The sequence below is a fragment of the Homo sapiens genome, chromosome 11 (assembly GCF_000001405.40).
Source record: "Homo sapiens chromosome 11, GRCh38.p14 Primary Assembly".
Taxonomy (NCBI): domain Eukaryota; kingdom Metazoa; phylum Chordata; class Mammalia; order Primates; family Hominidae; genus Homo; species Homo sapiens.
Genome location: NC_000011.10, coordinates 31,209,644 through 31,236,283, shown reverse-complemented (window position 1 = coordinate 31,236,283; position 26,640 = coordinate 31,209,644). Strand labels below are relative to the sequence as shown.

At 34.6% G+C, this 26,640-nt stretch overlaps 1 protein-coding gene across 23 annotated transcripts in view; it reads left to right on the top strand.

Moving 5' to 3' along the window:
• Positions 1-26,640, top strand: part of DCDC1 (doublecortin domain containing 1) — a 506,137-nt gene that overhangs the window by 133,456 nt on the left and 346,041 nt on the right. The window contains exon 9 of one of the 23 annotated variants that reach the window (NR_170625.1): positions 21,021-21,114. The exons of the other annotated variants lie outside the window; for them this stretch is intronic. The gene's annotated coding sequence lies outside the window, so the exon portion shown is untranslated. The remainder of the gene's footprint in view (positions 1-21,020; positions 21,115-26,640) is intronic. 23 annotated transcript variants of the gene reach the window in all.

Sequence of the window (26,640 nt, the reverse complement as noted above, 5' to 3'; positions counted from 1 at the left end):
GACAATTTTCTCAAAAGTACAGTAAGTGCAATATTGCCATCTAGAGTTTGTGCATAGGTAATTATTACAGAGAGGGGGGAAGTGACAGTGGAATAAAATAAGAAGTGATATTGAAATAGTGTTTATTTTCCATCATTTATCCATGACATATTTATCTTCATGGAACATTTCATTTGACTTGTCATAAAGCTGTTTAGGTCAGGAGAAAATTTTCAAATCTGTGTTTTTCTCTAATTCTCTTAGAATTATACTACCAAGTGTCAAATATGTATCTCTAGCTCAAAATTGAACTTTTTATCATGAAAACTATTTATTAAATAATTCACTTTGGAAAAAAATAGAGGTTTTTCTTTTTTACATGGTAATTCAGTTCTGTAAAACCAGAGAGCTTTATTGACATCTCAGCTGGGTGTCTTTCAATTAGAAAAATTATCTGTATTAATGTTAAACCTTCTCCAAAGAATAAGGGCCAACTTACGTTTCAAATGGTATTTTAAAATAAATATTTTTAACTTAAAAACTGCATCTCATAAAGGAAAGATAGACTTTTCTGCTTATGCAATTCTGAACATTTTGATGAAAAGTGAATTCCATTTGGGGATCATCTAGGAATATGTCTCCATCTTTATCAACATATTAAAAATATTAGTTATCACCTTACTTTTCTTGATTAATTAAAAATTATTTAAATTGTTTCATTTTATAATACTTTTTGAATGAACTAATATGGAAATATTTAAAAATCATTTATCCTCTGTACTTGTGACTGAATAGAAAATTTTATAAAAATCCCAATTTAAGTGTTTTAATTATAATACAGATAAAGTAAACTTAATATGGATACAGATTGACTTAACAAGGAAAGTTGTGTTTTTTTTTTCTACTCAACTCTCCCTTTACAGAATATGGACCATTTTTCTAAGTTTATAGAGGTAGGCACTTTAAGTTTCCCTGAGATGAATAATTTGGCATTAATATATTATTAATGCATTTTTTCTAATACACTGTTGATGTATTTGCTTTTTATGTCTGTGTGTGAATGACTTCCATAATTGTAAAAAATGGAAATGATTATAACCTAAATTTATTTTTATTTTCTGACCAAAAATTTATTCTCAGACATCCTAATGTTATATCCCCACTTATATTTAAGATCATTCTTTAGTTAGATGAAGATATCCTTCTTTAGTTAGATGAAGATATCTTATGTGGAAATTTCTAATCATATTGGGTAGAAATATTGCATTTTAAAAACTCCAAATAAAGATAGAATTGTCCAGGCAAAGTACTTGAAAGTAGACCTGACAAATGTTCTTTAAATTACTCAACCACCTACAGGTATTATTGCCTATGACTCTTTTGAAATGAGAATAAATTTTATAGAGTTACAGCAGCAAAGTGAAAGAGTGTGTTTGATAGATTCCCTGAACAGTTTCAACACCCACAGGTATTATTTGTAAGAAAACAATCATGCTGAGTCTTCAGCTGGTTAGAGAGGGCATAGCATTCTATCTTCACCTGACATCCTATCTGTTCTGTCAACATCCTGGGCCCCCTGCCTCCTGCCCCCTCCTCCGAAAACAATAATGCTCACTGAGAGGTTCGTGTGAACGGACAAGAATATGAATTTTTTTTCCTTGAAGAACTAAAACAGTATTGAATACACATTCTTAGTAGGAGGAAAACCAACTCTCTTAAGGATTGACTAGTATTTTCTATTTACTATTCAAATGGATCAGTGTTGTCAATGATTGCTAGTTAAGATCTTTGGTTCTTGAGAAGTCTGACTAATGATTGATAAAGCAATTGTAAACATCTTGGGTATCATTGCTTTGCTTTATTTTATTCAGAGACATATATAGTGGCTTCCTCACTTCTTGTTAGTAGCGTTAGTTCGAGTAAACATCAATCTTACAACAAACTTCTGATTTTCAAATAATAAAATTCATTCTTTGCTCTTATTTTATATATGTTGCAAAAGGTGGGAATTAATGTAACATTAATTTATTGCTCTCTTTCATAAAACTTTCTCAATTATGTTAGAAAATCAATTTTACATAACCTCCCTAAAATAATCAGTATCCTGTTACATTTCTAAAATATTTGAAGTTTCTGAACATAGCCAGTCATGCATGGAAAAAGGATATGGCAAGAGTTCATTTATCAACACTTAATATGTGTGACTGGGAAGTAAATGTTGAAAGCTTTAGAGAAAAGAATTACAGCATAAATAAAAGGTGCTGGAAAGGGCTTCAGCCTTGGCAAACCACAGGTGAGTTACATCTTTTAGAACTGTACAGCACAATACACTATCCCTTGTGTTTTTAAATTAAAATTAAATAAAATTGAAAATTGGGTTCCTCAGTCTCACTAGCCACATTTTGATTACTCAATAGCTACATCATCACTGAAAATTCCACTGGACAATTCTTTTTTAGAAGGCAAAAATTCGGTCAGATACTCCATTTATACTTCTGGCATTGGATTCCTCATTCTGTGATTAACAAGGTGACAAATCTTTTAACATGATCAGGATCTAATTTGGTGTTGGGTAGATAAGGTGCTCCAGTCCTCATAAAGCAAAACAAAGCAAATATTTTGAAAACAAAACAAAACACATATAGTTCACAATCTGTTTGCCTTCCAACCACCAGGTGGACACCTTTAGGCCCTTCAGTGTCTCTTAAGATCCTTATAAGTGAACTATATAGTGTGGCATCTTTGGGGACTACAATTCTACCAGTCACTGATTTAACCTTATCTTTTGGGTACCTCCCCACCCCCAAAAAGTAATTAGAGAACCAAAGAAGACAAACTCAAATGATGAAGTGTTGAGTACCACATATGTGCTCTGTCTGTGTGTTAACCAGTGTTGAAAATACAGGAGAATTCTCTAAGGCCTAACCCTCAGGAAGCTAACTTTCTTGTTTTGGAGACAAAGCATACCCATGTGAAGCTATTAGGAAATATGCTTATCAGTATAAAAATAAGTGCTAAAATATGTGATACAGATTCTATGTATTATGGGAACTTAAAAGAAAGACTAGCATGAATAGAATGAAAGTGAGGTTGAAATGAATTTTAAAGGCTGCATAATCCAGTCCTCTCATTTTATAGATAATAAGACAATAATACTTACCTCATTGAGCTGTTGTGAAGATTAAATAAGGTATATAAGACTCTTTTTTTTTTTTTTGAGATGAAGTCTCACTGTATCACCCAGGCTGGAGTGCAGTGGCACGAACTTGGCTCACTGCAACCTCCACCTCCCAGATTCAAGCCATTCTCCTGCTTCAGCCTCCCGAGTAGCTGGCGTTACAGGCACATGCCACCATGCCCGGCTAATTTTTGTATTTTAGTAGAGATGGGTTTTCACCATATTGGCCAGGCTGGTCTCGAACTCCTTACCTCAGATGATCTGCCCACCTCAGCTTCTCAAAGTGCTGGGATTACAGGCATGAGCCACCAAAGATTCTTAAAACAGTACCTGGAACCTAGTAAGTGCTCACTGGGGATTAGCTATCATCACCAGCATCTTTATTATTAATATTATAAAGTAATTAACACCAATGGCAGTAAGGTCCTTGTCTAAGGTGAGACAGCAAGATAGAGTTGTAATGGCACTAAAGCCTATCTTCATTAGCAAATGTAAGGCATGTTTTATTAACTGAAGTATGGGCAGAGTTTGAAAAGGAGATTGAGATAGGCAGTGGCATGAAGTCAGGAGTGAACAAGATTTCAAGCAGGTTATATGTGATTTTTAAAAAAGGATATCAGCGGCCTTTGGAAGATAATGAAAACTTAGAGTGAATAGGATTAAAGAAAAAATTGGCGTTAAAGAATTAAGGGCAGTGGGTATAGATAGGACCTCTCAGAGGCTGAGAGTGGTTATATTTTTTTAAAGTTCACAGCATATTAAATAATGAAGAAATGCCAAAACAGGATTTTAAAACTGTTAAGTATATTTTAGATGATTAACCTTAAAATTAACTCTATTAACAAAAAGCACAGTATGATATAATTGTTCTATTTACATGATAATTAAAAGATTTCTAAAAAATATTAATTCATAACCCATGTTGGGGGCATGATCTGGTGATGGGACAGATATTTCAAAATGACTGTCTTCTCCAGAGTATCCTGTCACTGTATGTGTAACTTCTTGATTGTATGTGTAACTTTATTTGCAGATAATGAAAAAGGCTAAATTTGTGGCCTATTTTGAATGTAAGACTAAGGTCAGAAGACCTTCCTCAGTCTCAGGATCTGAGATCCTAACGTGGTTGGATAGTGTGGATGGGGAAAGCAAGTCATTGAGTTTGGAAAGCATATGCTAGAGTTTACTTTAGGAAGAAGATACACACTGCAGGAGAGCAAATCCACTCACAGCATACAAGACATGCCAAGAAGTGTTTTCCTTATTTTGTTTAAATCTTATTTTATCTTTCACACATGGTGGTGGGAGAAAAGTAAAACTAAATTTGATTCAGACCAAATAATTTAACCAGCTTATTTAGGCAACGCTCAGCCTTTTGAATAAAGATGCTCAGATGTTCATCTTTCTGCCATTTTTTTTTGTGTTCCCTCCAAGAAGTCATCTGTGTTTATGGAGGAGAAGGGCTTATTAAGTAACAATTGGGGTTGTTCCCCTGAAGGTATACAAAGAGCAGGAGATGTACAGTGATTTTAAGAGAATAAATGTCCAGATTCCCAACTCCTATATGCACTTTTTACTAAAATGATTCTGCTTGAGAATGTGCCTGCAGTGTGAGGGAATGCCGTCTCTTTTCTCTTTTCCCATTTTCCATTCACCCTTTAAAAAGGCAAAGCACACCTCTTCCTCATCCTGAGTCTATTCTGGCATATCACCTTGTGGTGTAAAAACCTCCAGGCACCAAACAAAGGGACACTTTGAAAATATTAGTGTCATAAACTTGTGATAGGGCTCCAAATCTTTCCTTGCTGTTATATATGTATTTCTGTTAAGGAAGAAGTGGGATAGAAATACAAAGTTGAGGAGAAAAAGGAAGGATGTAAGCTTTCTGATTGTCTTAGCACTTTGGGAGGCAGAGGCAGGGGGATTGCTTAAGCCCAGGATTTCGGGACCATCCTGGGCAACATAGGGAGACACCATCTCTACAAAAATAAAAAATTTAGCCAGATGTGATGGTGCATGCATGCTTGTGGTACCAGCTATTTGGGAGGCTGAGGTGGGAGGATTGCCTGGGCCTTGGAGGTCGAGGCTGCAGTGAGGTGTGATTGTGCCACTGCATTCCAGCCTGGGCAACAGAGCAAGACCCTGTCTCAAAAAAACAAAAACAAAAAAATTTCATAACTTCCTGAATGTTAAAGAAGAGTTTTTTTCATGTTTTATTAAAAAAAATGGATAATTATTGATGTAAAACTGCTCTGGTATTTCACCTCACCGGATAGATTTTAAAAACCAATTTAACAGTTTTCTTTGGTAATGACAATATTTATAACATGCCAGAAATTACATACTTTGTAACTGTTTTTAAGCTAATGATAAAAAATTTTAAATGTCAACTTAAAATGTTGGTACATAGTTTTCTAAGTAAAGGTTACCCAGTTTTCTAAATTCTTTGAGATAGCATGTGAGTAAAATATTCTGGAGTCATCATGGTTCAAGGGAGAGAAAGGTGGTCCTTTGAGACAGATGGTGTCTGACTGCAGAGATGATTGGTCTTGTCTGTTGCTGAGGTCAGTAGCTGATGCTGGATGCTCTCTGGGTGGATGGGAGTGCACCCTGGACACTGCAGTCTTAGCTTGACTGTTGCTGAGTTAGTACCGCATTTTTCCATCTTGCTCTTGGCCTGCGTGAACCACCCCTCAGCCTCTGCAGTGTAGTAATTGTAGGCATTTTGTCCCTTAATATATTTTTTCTTTTTTTTTCTATTTTTTTCTTTTTGGCCCTTAATATTTTTTATGACTATTTTTTATTGTAAAAAAACATACAGCATTACATTCACCCATTTACCCATTTTTTAAGTGTACAATGCAGTAGTGTTAAGTATATTTACATTGTTTTCTTAATTTCCTTTTTGATTTCTCATTCTTAGTATATAGAAATGCAACCGATTTTTGTGCGTTAATTTTGTATCCTGCAACTTTGCTGAAATTATTAGTTGTAAAAGATTTTTGTGTGGAATTTTTAGGGTTTTCTATATGTAAAATAATCTCATCTGTGAACAGAGATAATTTTACTTCTTCCTTCCAAATTTGAATGCCTTTTATTTCTTCTTGTCTAACTGTTCTGGCTAGGACTTTAAGTACTATATTAAATAGTAGTGGTGAGAGTGGGCATCCTTTTCTTGTTTTTGATTTTAGAGGAAAAGCTTTCAGTCTTTTACTGTTGAATATGATGTTAACTGTGGACTTTTCATATATGGCTTTTATTTTCATCCATCTCTACTTTGTTGGAGTGTTTTTATCATAAAGTGTATTGAATTTTGCCAAATGCTTTTTCTGCACCAATTCAGATCATCATTGTGTTTTCTAGTCTTCATTTTGTTAATGTGGAGAATTACATTCATTTATTTCCTTATGCTGCGCCATCCTTTCATTCTAGATATAAATGCCAATTGGTCATTGGCCCTTAATATCTGAGGCCTTTCTGGCTTACAACTTTGCTACCTTTTTGTTTCCTGGGGACTGTGTGAGAATTTGTGGGTCTCATGTCTGATTATTCAGGTCATAATTTAGATAACATATTTTTTCAAATACTTTTTACTCCAATAATTGAGATTTTCATATACATATTTTTACTGTTAATATAGTGAATTACGTTGATTCATTTTCAAGTGTTAAACCTTATGTTTCTGAGATAAACATTACTTGTTCATGTAGTATTTACATATATATTATGTATTATCCTCCTTATATATGTTACTTGAATTGATTTATTAAATGCTATTAGTGATTTTTATATCTCTGATCTTGAGGGGCATTGGCCCATAGTTTATTTTTCTTTTAATATCTTTGTCTGATTTTGGTATTAGGGTAATGCTGGCTTCATCAAATGAGTTGAGATGTATTTCTTCCTCTTCTATTTTCCAAGTTTGTTTGCCACCTCTATTATTTCTTAAGTATTTGGTGAAATTCATTAGTAAAACCATCTGGGCCTGGAGTTTTGTTTACAGGTAGGTTTTAAATTATGAATTAAATTTTTTTTAGTAGACATATAGTTATTTATTTGTTTACTCTTATATTATTTCAACTTTTATTTTACATTTGGCAGGGTATATGTACAGGTCTGTTATATGGCTATATTCTGTGGTTTGGGGTACAAATGATCCCATCACCCAGGTAGTGAGCATACTACTCAATAAGTAGTTTTTCAGCCCTTCTCTCTCTTTCCCCCTTCCAGTATTCCTCCATGTTCCTATCTTTATGTTCAACATGTAGCTATTTATGTTACATAATTATTTTTGATCTTTAGTAGTTTAATGATCTTTGAAGGAATTTGTTCACTTAACCTAAATTGAAAATTTGTTGACATAAAGATGTTTATAATATTTATTATCATTCATTTGAAGTCTATAGAATTTGCTTTTTAATTCCTTATATTGGCAATTTCTAACCTCTCATTTTTTACTTAACTCGTCTAGCTGAGTTGATTAATTTTATTGATATTTTCCAAGAAATGGCTTTTCATCTAATTGATTTTCTATTTTTGGTCTGCTATTTATTTCATTGATTTTATGCTTCATTAATTCCTTACTTCTGCTTATGTAGGGTTTAATTGATATTTCTTTTTCTAGTTTCATAAAGCAAAAGCTTAGATAATTGATTTAGACCTTTCTACTTTTCTATTGTAAGCATTTAATGCTATAAATTTCCCTCAAAGCCCTGCTTTTGCTATGCCTAACAAATTTCAGTACGCTGTTTTCATTTTTCTTTAATTCAAAAGACTTTAAAGTTTTTCTTGTGATTTTCACATCTGTTATTTAGAAATATGTTGTTTAATTTGCCATTATTTTTGGGTTTCTGTATATCTTTCTGTAATTGGTTTCTAGTTTCCATTGTGGTCAGATAACATACTATGTATAATTTTAATCCTTTGAAAATTTTTGAGATTTACTTTATGGCTCAAAATATATCCAAATTAATGTTCCATGTTTGTTCTGTCTTATTGATTTGAGTGTTCTTCAATGTCAGTTTGTTCAAGCTAGTTGATAGAGTTTTTCACATCTTCTGTTATTCTTGTTGTAACTTTGGATTTGTCTATTCCTCCTTTCAGTTCTAACAATGTTTTCTAAATATATTTTGAAGTGCTGTTATTGGGTTTGTATTATTTTAAGATTGCTATATTTTATTGATAAATTAACTTAAAAATCCTTATGAAATGTTCCTCTTTATTCCTGGTAATATTCTTTGTTCTGAAGTCCATTTTGTTTTATTTTAATAAAGCTACTCCAATTTTCTTTTCACAAATGTTATTATAAAATAATGTCCTTTTACTTTTCTATCCTTTAATTTTAACTTACCTATATCTTTATATTCTGTCTTGTAGAAATAATATTTTGGGCCTTGCTATTTTCTCCATTCTGAAAATTTCTTTTAATTGGGATGTTTAGACCATTTACATTTAATATAATTATTAATATGACTGGGTTTAATTATTTTATCTTGTCATTTGTGTTTTATTTGTCTCATTTGTTTATCATTTTATCTTTTTAAACTGCTTTATTTTGGATAAAATAAGTTTCTTTGTGGTCACTTCATTGCTACTGAAATAGTTAGTATTTTTTTCCCCCCAAGTGTCATGTTGAAATGTGATTCCCACTGTTGGAAGTGGGGCCTGGTGGAAGGTGATTAGATCATGGGGGTAAATCCCTCCTGAATGGTTTAGCACCATCCCCTTGCTCAGTTGGTTCACGTGAGACCTGGTTGTTTAAAAAAGCCTGGAACTTCCCCCTTCTCTCTTGCTCCTCCTCTTACCATTTGATGTGTTGACTCTTCCTTCACTTTCTACCATGATTATGAGCTTCCAAAGGCCCTCACCAGAGGCAGATGCTGGAGCCATGCTTGTACAGTCTACAGAACTGTGAGCCAATAAAACCTCTTTTCTTTATATACTATCCAACCTCTGTCATTCCTTTATAGCAATGCAAAAATGGCCTAACACAGCTACCATAAGCTTATTAGCTATATCTTTTTGGCTTGCTTTGTATGCATGAGTGTATGTGTAGTTGCTCTAGGATGTTTTGTTTATATATTTAGCTTTTTATACTCCATCTTTGAATAATACTTATTCATTATAATGTAAGAAACATATGTTTTTATTTATCCTTCCTATTCTTTGTGCCACTGTTGTCGTCTATTTTATTTTTATCTGTTATTTTCCCCAGAAAATCTTGTATTCCTATATAAACAGAAAATTTTAAAAGAGATTTAAAAATGAGAAAAAATGTCTTTTTCTTCACCCACATACTTATGGGTTTTGATAGTCTTTATTCCTTAATAAATCCAAGCGTCCTCTTAGGTTGTCTTCCTTTTGCCTGAAGAACTTCTTTTAATGTCTTTTGTTAAAACTTTCTTTTTTTTTTTTTTTTAGAGATGAGATCTTGCTTTTTTGAGATCTTCCTTCCTTCTCATTGAGTTTGGAATAAGTCAGTAGATTTTCTTCCCCAGACTTTAAAGATGTTGTTCTATTCATCACAAGTTTCTGATGTAACATTGGATAGTATTCTTACCTTAGTACATCTTTATGTAATGACTTTTTCTTTTATTGCTTTTAAGAATTTATATTGATCACTTTTTTTTTTGGCAGTTTGATCATGAAGTGTCTTTTGTGTTTTTATTCGGGGGTTTACCTTCTTACAGTTTGTTGAATTTTTTGGATATGTGTGGCTCTAATTTTTGTTATATTTTTGGCCTTTATGTCTTAAAATACTTTTTCTATTCCTAACCCTCTTTCTTATTTTTCTGGACTCTAGTTACACAATATTAGTTTGCCATTTATTTTATTTTATTTTTTTTCCAGTCCTTTTTTCTGGGTACTTTATTTTGGTTTGTTTCTGTGATAGCCACCAGGCTGAACTAGGACATGAGTCACCTTCAGTTCTGCAAGAAGCCATTAGAGAAGAAAGCTGCAGATACAGCAGCTTGCCTGGAATTAAGTCATTATAGTTTCAAAATTCCAAATATAAGAGAAAATTATATTCCAAATACAAATACTATCTTTCCTCTTACATTCCTCAGCGTGGTTCCTTAAGTATTACATCATCAAGATTCTCCTATCAGTTCATATTTATTTCTCTTCATTCCTTAATACTAGAATCTGTTCTTAAGTCAAGCTAATATTATCACTGTTCAATAACCATACCATACTCCTTCCTAGCTCTGTGTTTCCTGTTCTCCTATATGGAATAGGAATGTACTTCTTTGTTTTCCTTATTTCAAAATAATGAAATACTCCAGACACGAAAGATTGGGTAAACATTTCTGTAAGCCAAATCCAACTCGATCAAATCCTTTCTTCAGATTTTTTTTTCAGGAAATAAAGCATATCTATATCTATATGTATCTAGGTAGATATAGATATATATCTACCTAGATATATATATATAATTTTTCTTCCCTGTGCTTCCTCTCTAGAGGTAACCATTATCTGAATCTCCAGTCATATTTTATATTATATATATTACATATATGTATATGTACATATTAGCATGTATGCATATGTATATATAACACATATTTACATATTTATATGTATATATTGTTATTCTTTTATTTTATTTTAATAGTTTTTTGGGGAAAAGGTAGCTTTTGGTTACATGGATAAGTTCTTGAGTGGTGATTTCTGAGATTTTGATGCACCTGTCACCTGAGCAGTTTATGCTGTACCCAATATGTAGTCTTTTAACCTTCACTCCCCCCCAACTTTCCCCCATGTCCCCAAAGTCCATTATATCATTGTTATGCCTTTGCCTCCTCATAGCTTAGCTCCCACTTATAAGTGGGAATGTAAAATATTTAGTTTTCTGGATATTGTATGTTCCTGAGTTACTTCACTTAGAATAATGACCTCCAGCTCCATTCAAGTTGCTGCAAAGGCCATTATTTCATTCCATTTTATGGCTGAGTAGTATTCCATGATGTATATATGCCACATTTTCTTTAGCCACTTGTTGATTGATGGGCATTTAGGCTTGTTCCATATTTTTGCAATTGTGACTTGTGCTGCTATAAGCATGCATGTGCATGTGTCTTTTTCACGTAGTGACTTCTTTTCCTTTTTGGTAGATTCCTAGTAGTGGGATTGCTGGATAAAATGGTAGTTTTATACTTTCAGTTCTTTAAGAAATCTCCATACTGTTTTCCATAGTCATTGTACTAGTTTACATTACCACCAGCAGAGTGGTACATCTCTTTTTGCCACATCCATGCTAACATCTATTATTTTTTGATTTTTAAATTATGGCCATTCTTGCAGGAGTAAGGTGGTGTCTCATTGTGGTTCTAATTTGCATTTCCCTGATAATTACTGATGTTGAGCATTTTCTTCATATGTTTGCTGGCTGTTTGTATATCTTCCTTTGAGAATTGTCTATTTATGTCCTTTTCCCACCCTTTGATGGGATTATTTGTGTTTTTCTTGCTGATTTGTTTGAGTTCCATGTAGATTCTGGATATTAGTTTTTTGTCTGCTGCATAGTTTGCAAATATTTTCTCCTACTCTGTGGGTTGTCTGTTTACTCTGCTGATAGTTTCTTTTGCTGTGTAGAAGCTTTTTAGTTTAATTAGATCCTATTTATTTATTTATTTTTGCATTTGCTTTTGGGTTCTTAGTCATGAATTCTTTGCCCATATCAATGTCTAGAAGAGTTTTTCTGATGTTATCTTCTAGAATTTTTATGGTTTCAGGTCATAGATTTTGATCGTTGATCCATCTTGAGTTGAGTTTTGTATAAGGTGGGAGATGTGGACCCAGTTTTACTCTTCTACATGTGGCTTGCTAGTTATCCCAGCACCATTTATTGACCAGGATGTCCTTATATATATATGTATATGTATATATTTACATATATGTTGTATTAGTCTGTTTTTGTGCTGCTGATAAAGACATACCTGAGACTGGGAAGAAAAAGAGTTTTAATTGAACTTACAGTTTCACATGTCTGGGGAGGCCTCAGAATCATGAAGGAAGGCTAAAGGCACTTCTTACATGGTGGCAGCAAGAGACAATGAGGAAGAAGCAAAAGCAGAAACCCCTGATAAACCCATCAGATCTCATGAGACTTATTCACTATCATGAGACTAGCATGGGAAAGACCGGCCCCCATGATTCAATGACCTCCCCCTACCCTAGGTCCTTCCCACAACATGTGGGATTGTATCTTGGAGATACAATTCAAGTTGAGATTTGGTGGGGACACAGCCAAACCAATCATATGTATATATGCATATGTGTATATTAAAGCATATACGTTCATATTTATATGTATATATTACATATATATGTGTTTTGCCTTTTTTGTACTTTATATAAATGATATACTATACATGTCACTCTGCACTTGCAACATTATATTTATGAGACATATTTATGCTGAAATATAAAGATGTTATGCATTGACTTTTAACTTCCACACAGTAATTTATTCATTTTATTGTATGAACATACTACAGTCTACTTATTACTTGTTGACAGACATTTAGTGTCTTTCCAAATTTTACTGTAACAAACAATGCTCCTACAAATATTTGTGTACTTTATGTAAAACTCACGTGCATGTATTAAAATTTCTCCAGGGTATATATCTAGAAGTAAAATTAGTATGAAAAAAGTATGCAGTATGCATATCATTGTGGGCTATTGTCTGTTTACATTATATGGCTATTGTATTAGTTAACACTTTCACCAGCAATTTATAAGATTCTCATTTCTCCTCATTTTCCCACATATGCATACATACATAAATACATACATACATACCCTTTGTGACTTATTTATCAAATAATAGTTAATGATATGTCTGAGCAATGCTAAAGAGATCAACTATGGATATGTGCTATTGTACATAATAACCATTCTCCTATTGTAATATAATTACATCATTGTTTTCTTTTCCTGAAATCAATTTCTTTGCAATTATTTATTCAGGATAATGTTCAAATTGAAAATTATTGAGTCTAAGTTGGTGACTGTATTAAACTCTTGGTAAGTCTTTCAAAATGATTGTACCAATGTAACTATTTCAGAATCATGTATAATATTTTAATGTTTGATATTTCAATATATACATAGTTTATTGTTTTTATTAGCACGAATTATATTACTTTCAAGGTTAAACATTATAAATATATCTGTTAATTAACAAAAATCTCTTTGCAATGGGCCAAATATTTATGTCTTCCCGAAATTTATATATTGAAGTCCTATCCCCCTGATGTGACTATATTTGGGAATAGGGCCTTTATAGAGTAGTTAATGTTAAATGAGGTCATAAGGGTAGGGCCCTGATCCAATAGAATTACTAGGCAAGACACCAGAGAGCATACACTCTCTCTCTGCCATATGAGAACACTGCCAGAAGACAGCCATCTTCGAGCCAGAAGAGAGCCCTCAGAGACTCCTCACCAGAACCTGACCATACTAACACCCTGATCTTAAGCTTCCAGCTTCCAGAGCTCTGAGAAAATAAATTTCCCTGTTTAAATCACCCAGCCTATGGTAGCTTGTTATAGCAGCCTGAGCTGACTAAGACAGATTTTGTTACCAAGATATGGAATATTGCTGTAACAAATACCTAGACATGTGGAAGTGGCTTTGGAACTGAGTGATAGGTACAGACTGGAAGAGTTTTGAGGTGATGCTGGAAATATGTATGTTAAGAGTAATTCTGGTGAGGTTTCAGTGGAAATAAGCAAGATGTTATTAGAAACTAGAGGAGGCCAGGCGTGGTGGCTCACTCTGTAATCCTAGCACTTTGGGAGGCTGAGGTGGGTGGATCACCTGAACTCAGGAGTTCTAGATCAGCCTGGGCAACATGGTGAAACTGTGTCTTCACTAAAAATACAAAAAATTAGCTGGACCTGGTGGTGCATGCCTGTAATCCCAGCTACTTAGGAGGCTGAGGCAGGAGAATCACTTGAACCTGGGAGGCAGAGGTTGCAGTGAGCCGACATCACACCACTGCACCCAAGCCTGGGTGACAGAGTGAGACTTTGTTTCAAAAATAACAAAAAACAAAAAACAAAACAAAAAACTAGAGGAAAGGTAATCCTTATAAAGTGGCAAAGAACTTGGTTGAATTGTGTTCTAGTGTTTCGCAGAAGGTAGAACTTACAAGTGATGAAATTGGATTTTCAGCTGAGGAGATTGCTTAGCAAAGTGTTGGGAGAGCCTCTTGATTGCTTCTGACTACTTATAATAAAATGTGAAAGGAGAGAGATGAATTGAAAGAATTGTTAAGCAAAAAGGACCCAGAGCTTAAAGATTTAGAAAATTCTTAGCCTATCCATATTGCAAAAAATGAGGAAGCTTGTTCTAAAGAGAACACTAAAGGTGTGGCTGAGCAACCCTTTGATAAAGAGATCATGGGTGTGATTCATAAACTTAATTAGCTATCTCAGCAGAGACCAGGAATGGAGATGGGGTTATGCCAGCAGAGATACTACCAGTTTGAACTAAAGGGAACAGAGAAAGTGGGACAGAATGAAGGAAGGCTGTCAGATATCCTGCCTTTTATCTTTCAAAGGGCAGGACCAGGATCCACCAGAACCATGTGGATGGGGCGGAGAGACAAAAGGGGAAGGTCACTACCACCCCAGTGGGCCTGGAAGGCAGAGTATTGAATCAAAGAAGATTATTAAGATCTAATAGAATTTTCATTGCTAGGTTTTTGACTTGTTTGGGACATGTCACCACTTCCTTCTGATTTCTTCCTTTGGAATGGAAACTTTATCCTATGCCTGTCCATTATTGTATTTTGGAAGCATATAACTTGTCTAGTTTCACAAGTTTACAGCTGGAGAGGAATTTTGCCTCAGGTTGAATTATACCTTGGGTCTGACCCATATCTGATTTAGATGATATTTACTTGAGACTCTAGACTTTAGAATTGATGGTAGAATGAGTGAAGACTTTTGGGACAATTAGAGTGAAATAAGTGTGTTTCGCATGCAAGAAGGACATGAATTAATATTCCACATATGGAATATTATGGACTTTGTGTTCCCCCTAGATTCTCTGATTGAAGCCCTTACCCCAAATGCCACTATATTTGGAAGTAGGGCCTTTATGGAAGTAATTAAGGTTAAATGAAGTCATAAGAGTAGGCCCTTGATCCAGTAGGAATAGTGTCCTTATCAGAAGAGGCACCAGAGATCTGTCTTTCTCTTTATACCATGTGAGGACACAGCAGAAAGGCAGTTGTTTGCAACCCAGGAAGAGACCCCTCGAAAGAACTTGACCATACTCGCACTCTGATCTTGGATTTCAGCCTCCAGAACTATGAGAAAATAAATTGCTGTTGTTTAAGCTATCCAGTCGATGGAATTTTCTTATGGTAGCTCAAGCTGACTAATAGAGTCTTCTTGTTCAAATGGTACTTTGCACATTCAAAATTGGTTTTTAACATCAATTGTAAAATCAGACATGTTGAATTTTTAAAAAGTTGATTTGTCTTACATAAAATTTTAATACAAAATATAAAGTGTAAATATAACATAATGCATCTGATTTTTAAAAACAAACATAAATCAGAAATTACACAGCCTGAGTACAGTAAGCAGACTTCAATCTTGTGAGGTTATTTTAGCAATACTGCCTTGCTCAAAACCATTTTGGATTTACCTTAATTGCATTCTTTTGAATATTGTCAGTGATGATGTTTACATCTTTGCAGTGTGAATTTAAATTTTTGGAAATTCAAAAAGTAATTTTTGTTAAATTTGGTGAAACATTTAGTATTAAGTATCAAAAATAGTTTCATCAAGAATATATTATGAAGCTGCGTATTTTCATTAGGACCTAATTCCTAGATAAATATTGCCCATTACACGTTTCAAAGATTCTTCTAAATGCTTCAGGAATTGTACATGATAATCCTTATTGAGTGTTTTATTTTGTGGTATGAATTTTATAAGAATGTCATTTGTGTCAAAGAAATAAAATTATCTTCACTGGTGATTTTGACATGGACTTCCTAGAATATAGGGTTATTGTTATTAAATCTTCTCTTTTTCTGTTCACATGAAATTCATGGCGTATCTTCAGAGTAATTTTAAAAAATTTTCTGGCCAATCCAGTATCCTGTACTGTTTCAGGTGTGGGGGCTGGAGTCAGATTGCTTCAGGTCAAGTCCAGGCTTTCGTGTTTAACCAGCTCTGAGGTCTTAGGCAAGTTAACTAACCCCTGTTTTCAGGTTTCTTATCTGTAAAATGAGGTTAATAATAGGATTGTTGTGAGATTATACCTGTAAACACTTAAAAATGAGATAATACCTAAAAATGGTAAAATTTATATGTGCTTATATGGTGCCTGGCTTATAGAAAACAATAAATATTAGCTATTATTACCATCATCATATCATCATTCTCTGCTCATATCCAATCACTGCCTGCCACCTTTGTCGAGCACAGTGCCTTGTCCTTAGTTGGTATATTTGTTGATAAACCAGTGAAAGAATGAAAACCCTTTTCAAGATTTCTTTTAGAATAAGTCTAATTCTTTGACTAAATTTAACTCTTTGGTCATCTTTCTTTCAATTATTTATTTGAATGCACTAAATATCATATCTTCAACATTTTCTGTCTTACAGTAAGGGGTTTCTAAGCCTGACAGCATCAGAATCACATAGGTCCCGCCTCTGCTCATGTTTATATTCAGCAGACCTGGGCAGGACCAGGGGGCTAGTTTATTGAAAATGCTCTAGAGTTGATTCTGATACTCAAGCTAGGTTGAAGTATTGTGAGAGTGAGTCTTATTTTCTTAATGAAATTTTTGAGATCAGTTAAAAAAAATCTTGTTTTTGACATAACTTTATCCCCTCCAGCTTCTTTTTACAGGTCATGTACTATTTTGCAGATACATTTGTTAAAAATCTAAATTTATTCTAAAATTTTTACTTTTTTTTTTAACTGTAAATTGTTTTGTGCTCTAAATTGTTTGCTTTGTAATGTGGGCTGTGTGTGTGTGTATGTATGTGAGAGTGTGTGTGCTTCTTTAGCACCAACTCAGGCATGGGCTGGCCAGCCTTCGGAGCTCCGTTCTTCCAGGTCAAAGCTTGTTTAAACTTGTCCTTGCTATGATCACTCCTTCACTGTTTCTTCAAGCCATGCATGAGAATCAGCCTCATTACTTTAAAGCAGCACCTCATATGCTCAGAATGCTCTGCCATCTAATTTCAGCAAAATTACATATCTACCCACCAAATTTTACTAAAAATTAGGACCTTGTCATAATATTGGGATTTTTCCAGTTTTGGTACACAACTAATATACTAGTTAATGGGAGTGAGGGAGGAAGAATGAAGGTAGAAAGCTTCAAGTTAAAAGTTAGAATATAGGTTTGAAATATTAACGTTACTTAGAGTTAGACACTGAGTTTTTAATCCTCTCCAACTTATCATCTGTTTGACATTTAGCTGTTACATTTTATTATGACCCTTTTTTTCTTTTATAAAAGTATATTTATGCTGATGTCATAAAAGATAAAATTTAGTTCTGGAAGCTCTCTGCAAATGTCATTGGACACTGGGCAATAAATGTAACCCAAATAACCTGATGTCAGGGAAAATAAAAATCAAGGCAGCATTCTAATGATAATAGCTTTAAAAAAGTGAATGTCTCTTTAAGGAAAACAGAATCTTTTGTTACATTTAAGTAGTGACTTGAAATTGGAAACATAGAAAGTTGGATTTGAAAAGGAAGTGATTGCTTTAATTTTTTCCCTATAAACATTTATTCTTAGAGTATCAAGAGAAAAGCTTTTGAGAAGAATGATGATGACAATATCTTGTATTTTATACCAATGTGTATTATCAATTGCATTAGTTTTCTAGTGTTTTGGCTTTTGTGAGAACTTCAGTACACATTAGAAATATTTTCTCTTCTTTTTCAATGTTCTCATTAATTAAAAAAATCTGTAATTATATTTTCTGCTTTGGAAATATTTATATTACGACTTTTTTTTTTCTTAAAGCAAATGACAAAAGATAAAAAGTAAAAGATAAAAATTTAGGAAAAAAGGTTTTCTCCACTTAGTGGGTACATATTTTAGAGAGGAGATATTTCTGCATTTTGTAATGCTGATATTTCTTTGAAATATATAGCATAGATTTTCAAACAATAGCCAATAGCCAAAACAGATTGGACACACTATCTTTGTTGGGAGACATGGGCAGAGATATAGAGTACACATTATGAAAAAATCTATTTTTTCAGTTGAATTCCACTTGCATATTACTTCTCTGACAATTCTATAAAAATGAAGAGATATTACTTTAGTGACTTTTGTTAAATTTAGAAAGAAAATCTTATTAGCATGCATGTGGGATTAAATGTTGTATCATTTATAATAATATGTGTTTTACTACTTCTTATTTTTAAAATATCCTGTCTTTCAGTAATTAATTCCCCTTTGAGTTGAGTATATCCTTGCCTGAAACAGAATAGTTTCAGTGGATAAACAATGGGATGGCACATATAGAAGTACATAGTTTTTCTGTAGAAGATAGTTTCCAGTGATAACATTTGGATCTTTTCTTACAGAGGTGCTTCTAGTTTTCTATTTTATGTCTAACTTATAGATGGATAATATGGACTAGTTTGTGCTCTTCCTTTGTATACATATATACTTGACCCATTTGTGATTTAACTTACTATGACAGCTTTTCAAAATCGACCGGAGTTGTTTATAGTCCTCCAGATCAGAGTATCTAAAAACTTAGTTTTTTAAAAAATTGACTTAAAATCACTTTGAAGTCCATATAGTTCAGATTATACATAAAAATTTGTATATACTTACAAATAGACTTACCTATTTTCAAATATGCAAATCAGCACAGACCAAAAGTAAAGACATTGCACCTGCTTCTTCCCATAATTTATCTTTGTGAAATGACAGCTTGCTTTTGACACTTCTGTGAAATGTTAAAAGTTGAGTGTGCCTCTTACCTCCCTTTTCTATCATCTCCCTCTCCCTGTTGTAGGCTTAATGTAGAGGAGGGGGAGTGATTTACCCCAGCAGGGAGGATCCTTCTTTATTGCCCTTTTCACCCCATTTGTAATGTTGTTTCTAAGAGAAATACAATCTATGTTAATTAATAAACATATTTATTGAAGTAAAGTTCACATGTAGAATTAATTTTTAAAATAAAGATTTAGAAACCAAACATTGAGGGATGAGAGGAACTGATTTATGCTTTGTAGACTACTCTGGCTATTTTGAGAGTAAAAGCAAGAAACCCAGTCAGCACAGAATCTAGGCTTCAGCATGAGGTTCAGAGGTGGGAAAATGAGGGAGATCTTTTAAAATTGAAGGCCACAGACCATCTCTGTCTTGTATGGGGAAAGCTAAGACCCTGAGTAACTAGTACTGTCTGGGCTTATCTATGAGGTAAGCATTGGGATGGCTGGAGGTGGTTTCTGTGCATGAACTATGAAGCACCTGCCTTGAGATTATGACATCCAGATGCCATAGCTGATCTGGGACAAAAATCTCTAGTTTGATTTTATGACATCTGCTTGTCATTTCAGTAGAATTGAGGTCTGCAGTGGGCTAAATGGCCGGGTAAGGTTTCTTAAGTAGTTTGGATTCTACAGTGTAGATCTGCCCCTTTTGCAAATGTTTGCCACTTCAGCTGAACAAGTCAAAGTTCTGCTCAAGAGTGCAGAGTAGTATCTCAGCACCTTCATGGATTCTGAAAGGTGAATTCAACTGCTATAAGCTTTTACAGCATAAATTTACCTCAAAGTTTTTGTATGTATGTATTATAAATTCCAATTCGTAAGCATTAGGAAATTTCTGTGTATATCTAATCCTCTATCTGTCTACCCATGTCTATCATGCCCATTTTCTATGATCCCTTGCCACTAGGGGAAAATAACGTTAATATTCATATTAATAGTTGCAACCCCTTTCTGCCCAGATTAGCAGGAATTCCAGTGTTTCTCTGGGATTCTCCCTTTTGAAGTTTCTTGGTGTCCTTTCCTATTAACACACCTCAGTGGGGACCATCTCATTGCATTAGTGAAGCTGTACTAACAGCTCTAATTGCTCTAAAGGGAAGAGGGCAGGAACTCCATCACATTCTGCCCTAAATGCTCCTTGGCTCTGCATGGCAGAGGTATGAGATGGGCAGCCATAAATAAGAATCTGTGACACTCTTTCCCCAGAGCATTAACTGCATTTTTCTTTTATGTTTATGAAACTAACAAAGGCCACTCAAGAGCTTCTTTTTAGAAGGAAAAAGGCCCAATTTAAAAGGATTCCTGCTGCCTCCATTTTTTTTTTTTTTTAGATGGAGTCTTGCTCTGTCACCAGGCTGGAGTGCAGTGGCACAATCTTGGCTCACTGCAACCTCTGCCTCCCGGGTTCAAATGATTCTCCTGCCTCAGGCTCCCGAGTAGCTAGGACTATAGGCGCACACCACCATGCCCGGCTAATTTTTTGTATTTTAGTAGAGATGGGGTTTCACCATGTTGGCCAGGATGGTCTCAATCTCCTGACCTCATGATCTGCCCACCTTGGCCTCCCAAAGTGCTAGGATTACAGGCATGAGCTACCGCGCCAGGCCTGCTGCCTCCATTTTTAGGCAGAGAAGTAGCTGACAAGTTTTAAGTGGTGGCTAACAAAAGATTTACAATTTTGGTTAACTGGAGATTTTGTAAATAGATATACACATGACATAAACACCTATATCATGCATGTGTATCTTATCTACACATACACATGTCATAACCTCTCATTATATTAGTTTTCAACAGAAATTTCTTATTTTTAAAATGTATTTATTTATGAATTATTTATTTTATTTTATTTTTAGAGAACTGGGTCTCACTATGTTGCCCAGGCAAGCCTCAATCTCCTGTGCTCAAGGGATCCTCCTGCCTCAGCCTTCCGAGTTGCTGAGACTACAGGTGTGAGCCACTGCACTTCTAAGAAATTTCTATTTTAGTTGTTCACACATGTTTGAATTTGCTTTAGATAAGTTTAATTTTTAAAATGTGGGACTTCTCACCCAGTTTAGACATAGATTTGATGAAATAACTCACTTGTATTTATATATACACATCAGTTTAATATGTAACTATTAAAATGTCCTGCTTAGATTTATATGACATGAATATTTTAAAATATTAAATATATAAAAATATTAAGTTTCACCTTTATATTTAATTATGGAAGTTTTTATAGTAATTTATTTCTTATGTTAGTTAAATTATTGAAGGTAAGAAGCATAAATTACCCTAAATTAACATATATTTGAAATTTATCTGTATTATAGAACAAATAATCTCTTTCCCTTGACAAAGAAACTTGTATTAGTGAATTAAAATGATAAAAACACATTTCTGTTATCTTATTTGTAACCTGTAATTTCTAAAGACCAATTTAAGGTATATTGTCTCTACAAATGACATTAAATTAGACCTCAGTCATCTGTTTCCTGTCACTTCCTATTATTTTGTACTTGTTCATCAATCCTTGGGGGAAATCAGAGCCTGTTTGGCTCTTTCTAATCTGCATAATGCTCATTGAGGGCGTGGTCAGGAGGCACCTCCCCTCCCTACCACACTGAGGATTTTACCCATCTCAGGCCCACTGATAATTCCTCTAGATCCTGCTGTGTGCAGCAGAGTGAATTTGACTCTTAAAAAAAAATTAAAATCAAATTCTACCATTAGTTTAAATGTTTAAATCTACTTTTACATTATACATTTTGAAATGTAGTTTTCAAAAAATTGTTGTTCATAATTTTATACCTTATCAACTAAAGTTTCATATAGGTAAAGTATTAACCCTTGTTCCAAGATTTTCATCTCGGTAAATAAAGACTGTATTTTGTAATAGTCTGGGAGATTATATATGCACACATTTCTAATTATGGAGACATATTGTTTGCAACAGTACAACAGAAAGAATCAAGGCCCCATGTGGTCACCTATTCACCTTATTTTGATAAAAAAAACTTTTTACAATGAATTAATGTTTTTATCCATCTTTTTTAAATGTAGCAATTATCCTATAAGTGAATTAATGATCTTTTGTAAAATTACAGAAATTTATAAATTATAAAATGGAAGTCCCCCCCACCAAAACTATTCCCCAGAGATAATTGCTGTTAATAACATTTTCTAGGCATATTCATATATATATGTATGTGTAGATACATGTACATGTGTACACACTCAACAATATAAATAAATACTTCTTTTTCTCTAATATGAGTGATACATACTCCCTTTTTTAAACAAGTAATAGTCGGTAATATTAGTAATATTCTTGTTTTATTATCTACTATGTCATGGACCTCTTTACATGTCAAAAGTAGTAGAAGATGACCACTTTTTTTTTTGTTTTTTTTTTGAGACAGAGTCATGCTCTGTCACCCAAGCTGGAGTGCAGTGGCGTGATCTCGGCTAACTGCAACCTCCATCTCCCGGGTTTAAGTGATTCTCCTGCCTCAGCCTCCTGAATAGCTGGGATTACAGGTGCCCGCCACCACGCCTGGCTAATTTTTGTATTTTTAATAAAGATGGGGTTTCACCATGTTGGTCAGGCTGGTCTCAAACTCCTGACCTTGTGATTCGCCCATCTCGGCCTCCCAAAGTGCTGGGATTACAGACATGATAAGCCACCGCCCCCTGCTGAAGGTGACCACTTTTAATGCCTGTGTTAAGCTTTGGGGATTTAATACTCCTACTTTAGATGTTAAACAAATTGATAAATAGACTCAGGAGCCAGGCAGGAATTAAAATCCAGTCTCTACTTACCAATGATAAGGCTAAATTTGAAAAGATCATTTTGACATGAGGCGAAAATAGACCCTGAATAGAAAATATCCAACCAGACTGGGGTGAAGTGACTGAAGAGCCACATGCCTTTCTTGGAGGACAGCAAACCACTGCCCTGGTAAAGAAAGCAGAGAGAGAGAGAGAGAGAGAGAGAGAGAGAGAGAGAGAGAGAGAGAGAGAGAGAGAGAGAGGCTGGGCTTTATATAGAAGATGACACAGTTTCACCAATGCACATGTCTATGTCTGGATCATCTAATAAGGAAGAGCAAGTGAGGAGCAGAGAGAAGGAAGAAAGCTTCCTCCTAGGAGGGCAGAGGCATCCAGGAGAATTTCTTCTTCACGTAGTACACAGGTTTACCACATCTTACATAACAGTTATATATAGCTACTAATGGACATTTAGGTTTCTTCCAATTTCTATTACAATGAGCATTGCTGCATTGCAGTTAATGTCCTTGTACACAGTTTTGTATATTTTTGCTAGTAATACTGAATATGAACTCCTAAAATTAGAATTACTGAAAAAAATACAGATTTATTTTTTCCCCAGATATTTCCTAATAGCTAAAAGGAAGTTTGAGCCTATTTACATTGTATCCAAAGATAAATTAATATACCGTTTTCTTGCATCGTCATTTTTATTCACCCATGTCAGCCTGATAGATTTAAAAAAATCTCATTTGAAAAATCTGTTAATTCATTAGTAGTGAAGTTACATATATTTCTGTAGGTTTATTGTTCACTTGTATTTTTTTAATAATTCACCCATTCATATCTTTGCCCAGTTAGCTATGTTCATCTTTCTTATTGAATTGTAAGCATTCCTTATGGGGTGTGTGTTTAAATTACCTGTTATATAAAAATGTAATACATTTCTCCCTAAATTTGTCCTTTGTCTTATACATTTTTTAGTGTGTTTTGATATATAGCAGTTAAATTTCTACTTAATCACCTCTTAAAACTTAAAAAAATAGTTTCTTGTTTTTTTTAATCAGGAAAAACAAAATTTTCGCATTGTAAGGGTATATTTTTCCTCTAGTATATTTATTTTTTACAGTGAAATTTTTCATTCATACAGAATTTATGTTTGCAATTGTGTTGGGAGTTTAAAAATTTATATTACTACTATAAAATTTAATTCGTTTATTTACATTGTAAAACTTTAAAAGGTATTACTTAACTATGCTTAGCTGTTTTTTTTTTTTTTTTGAGACTGAGTCTCGCTCTGTCGCCCAGGCTGGAGTGCAGTGGCGCGATCTTGGCTCACTGCAAGCTCCGCCTCCTGGATTCATGCCATTCTCTTGCCTCAGCCTCCCAAGTAGCTGGGACTGCAGACACCTGCCACCATGCCCAGCTAATTTTTTTGTATTTTTAGTAGAGACGGAGTTTCACCGTGTTAGCCAGGATGGTCTCGATCTCCTGACCTCGTGATCCACCTGCCTCGGCCTTCCAAAGTGCTGGGATTACAGGTGTGAGCCACTGCGCCCGGCTGCTTAGCTTTTTTTTAAAGCTCAGTAAGTTAACCTGGAGGTTTAGATATTCTATGACACGTTATATGGAACGTAAACTATAACTGCTTATAGAGTCTACATTATGTAGAGTAGCAGAAAATACGAAAGGAAAACTGCACCATTGACAGCTTGTATACATGAGGCCTTAAAAATACTGAAAATGATTATTCCATATGGATTTTTTCCGATTAAAGAACAAAGTATCTAGGCATGTCTGTAAGTAATTAACTCATGTAATCTCGATTCAGGAAGCATGTTTAATTCATCTCATATTGAAATTAACTCTCAAATCCCTAGGCCTCACAACTTAAAACAGTGCAGGTGGGATGGGGCGATAGTGCAAATAATTAAAAGCAATTCAGGTAGTAGGCATGTGGATAGTAGTCACGCATTTTGAGGATGCAGTTGTGCAATTGTGTATACAAATACTTGTTTCTGATAAATACATATGGTCTTAAATAAATAGAAAATTGAGTGTATCCTAGTATAGCCAGTTGAGACATCATATATGCTTTATCATCATAATTATTACATATTGTTAGATTTTATGGTTAGGATAGTTTGAATAATGTAGTGTGAGAAATACAGTCTAGCTCTGATCCCCAAGCTCAGTCTGATTGCTAAAGATGGAGTCTTGAATATGCTCATGAAGTCATGGTGGATGATCATCTACAGATGAGAGCAGTCCCTTTGTCTCAAGTGTAAAAGTCATAAATGTTTTCTGAAGTAGTCCAGAGATCAACCAAGTAAGTTTGGCCTCTTGCAAAATAGCCTTCTTCAGAATTTATGAAACTTGCTTGCCTAGATAGAAAAAGAATAGATTCCAGGGTAATAGAGATATTTATCCATTCATGGATTCAAGGAGGCAGTAGAATCCGGAGGTGCCTCTTACCGTGTGAATGTGAGTAAGATATCCTCTTTGTGCTTCAAGGTTTTATTTATTGAATGAAGATATCTTAGGGTTAGTATTAATGAATTAATATATGAAAAGATCTGGGAACAGTGCTTGGTCCATTCTCTTTTGCTTCTTTTTTCTTTTCTTTTCCTTTCTTTCTTTTTTTTTTTTTTTTGAGACGGAGTCTCTCTCTGTCGCCCAAGATGGAGTGCAGTGGCGTGATCTTGGCTCATTGCAACCTCTGCCTCCCGGGTTCAAGTGATTCTCCTGCCTCAGCCTCCTGAGTAGCTGGGATTACAGGCATGTGCCACCATGCCCAGCTAATTTTTGAATTTTTAATAGAAACGGGGTTTCACCGCATTGGCCAGGCTGGTCTTGAACTCCTGACCTCATGATCCACCTGCCTCGGCCTCCCAAAGTGCTGGGATTACAGGCATGAGCCACCGTGCCCGGCCGGTCCATTCTTAACTCCACAGTAAGAGCTCAGTAAATGCTAGCTATAAATGCTATTAGTCATTCAGTCAATAAACATTCCTTTCGTACCTACTTTGGGACTCACACAGGAGTATAGTACCTTTCTGGAACTGGGAACAATTGATAGTCAGTGACATAGAATGTCTTCAGCCATGTAAAAGGTTTTGCTATGGAAGAACTACCTTCTCTTTGCGTGGGAGGGCACTGACTTTCTTCATTCAAGAAAAGCAGAGAAAACCAGAAAGCTCTGGCAGCCTGAGGAACTGGCACACCAAATTCTACTTGAAGGGTGATTGACTTATGGTAAGAAATATATGGGCATGGATGTGGGGAGAAACTAGGATTTATCGGATACCCCCCATGTAGCAGACACTGGTAGACATGCATGTTTGCTCATTCAATTAATAATGAAAGTGAAAGGAGGGAGAAATGACTCTAGTTGTTGCAAGGCCAACCCCATTCATTTGTTTTCTCTGGTCCCACATCATCTCATTGTGTCTGGTGGACTGACTGTCCCTCTTTCTTTTACTTTCCTTTATCTCTCTCTATGCATTGGCCTCTCTCCCGTTCATGCTTGTTCCTTTATCCTTGCTTGAAGAGGTCTTTCCACAATTCTTCTACTCTCTTGACATACCTTTCCAGCATTCCTCTCTGTTGGTAAACAACTCAGAAGAGGAGTTTTTATTCTCTGCCTTAAATTTCTTACTACTCAGTCATTGTCCAACCCCTTAAATGACTTTTGCCTCAATCAGACTCTGCAGACTCAAT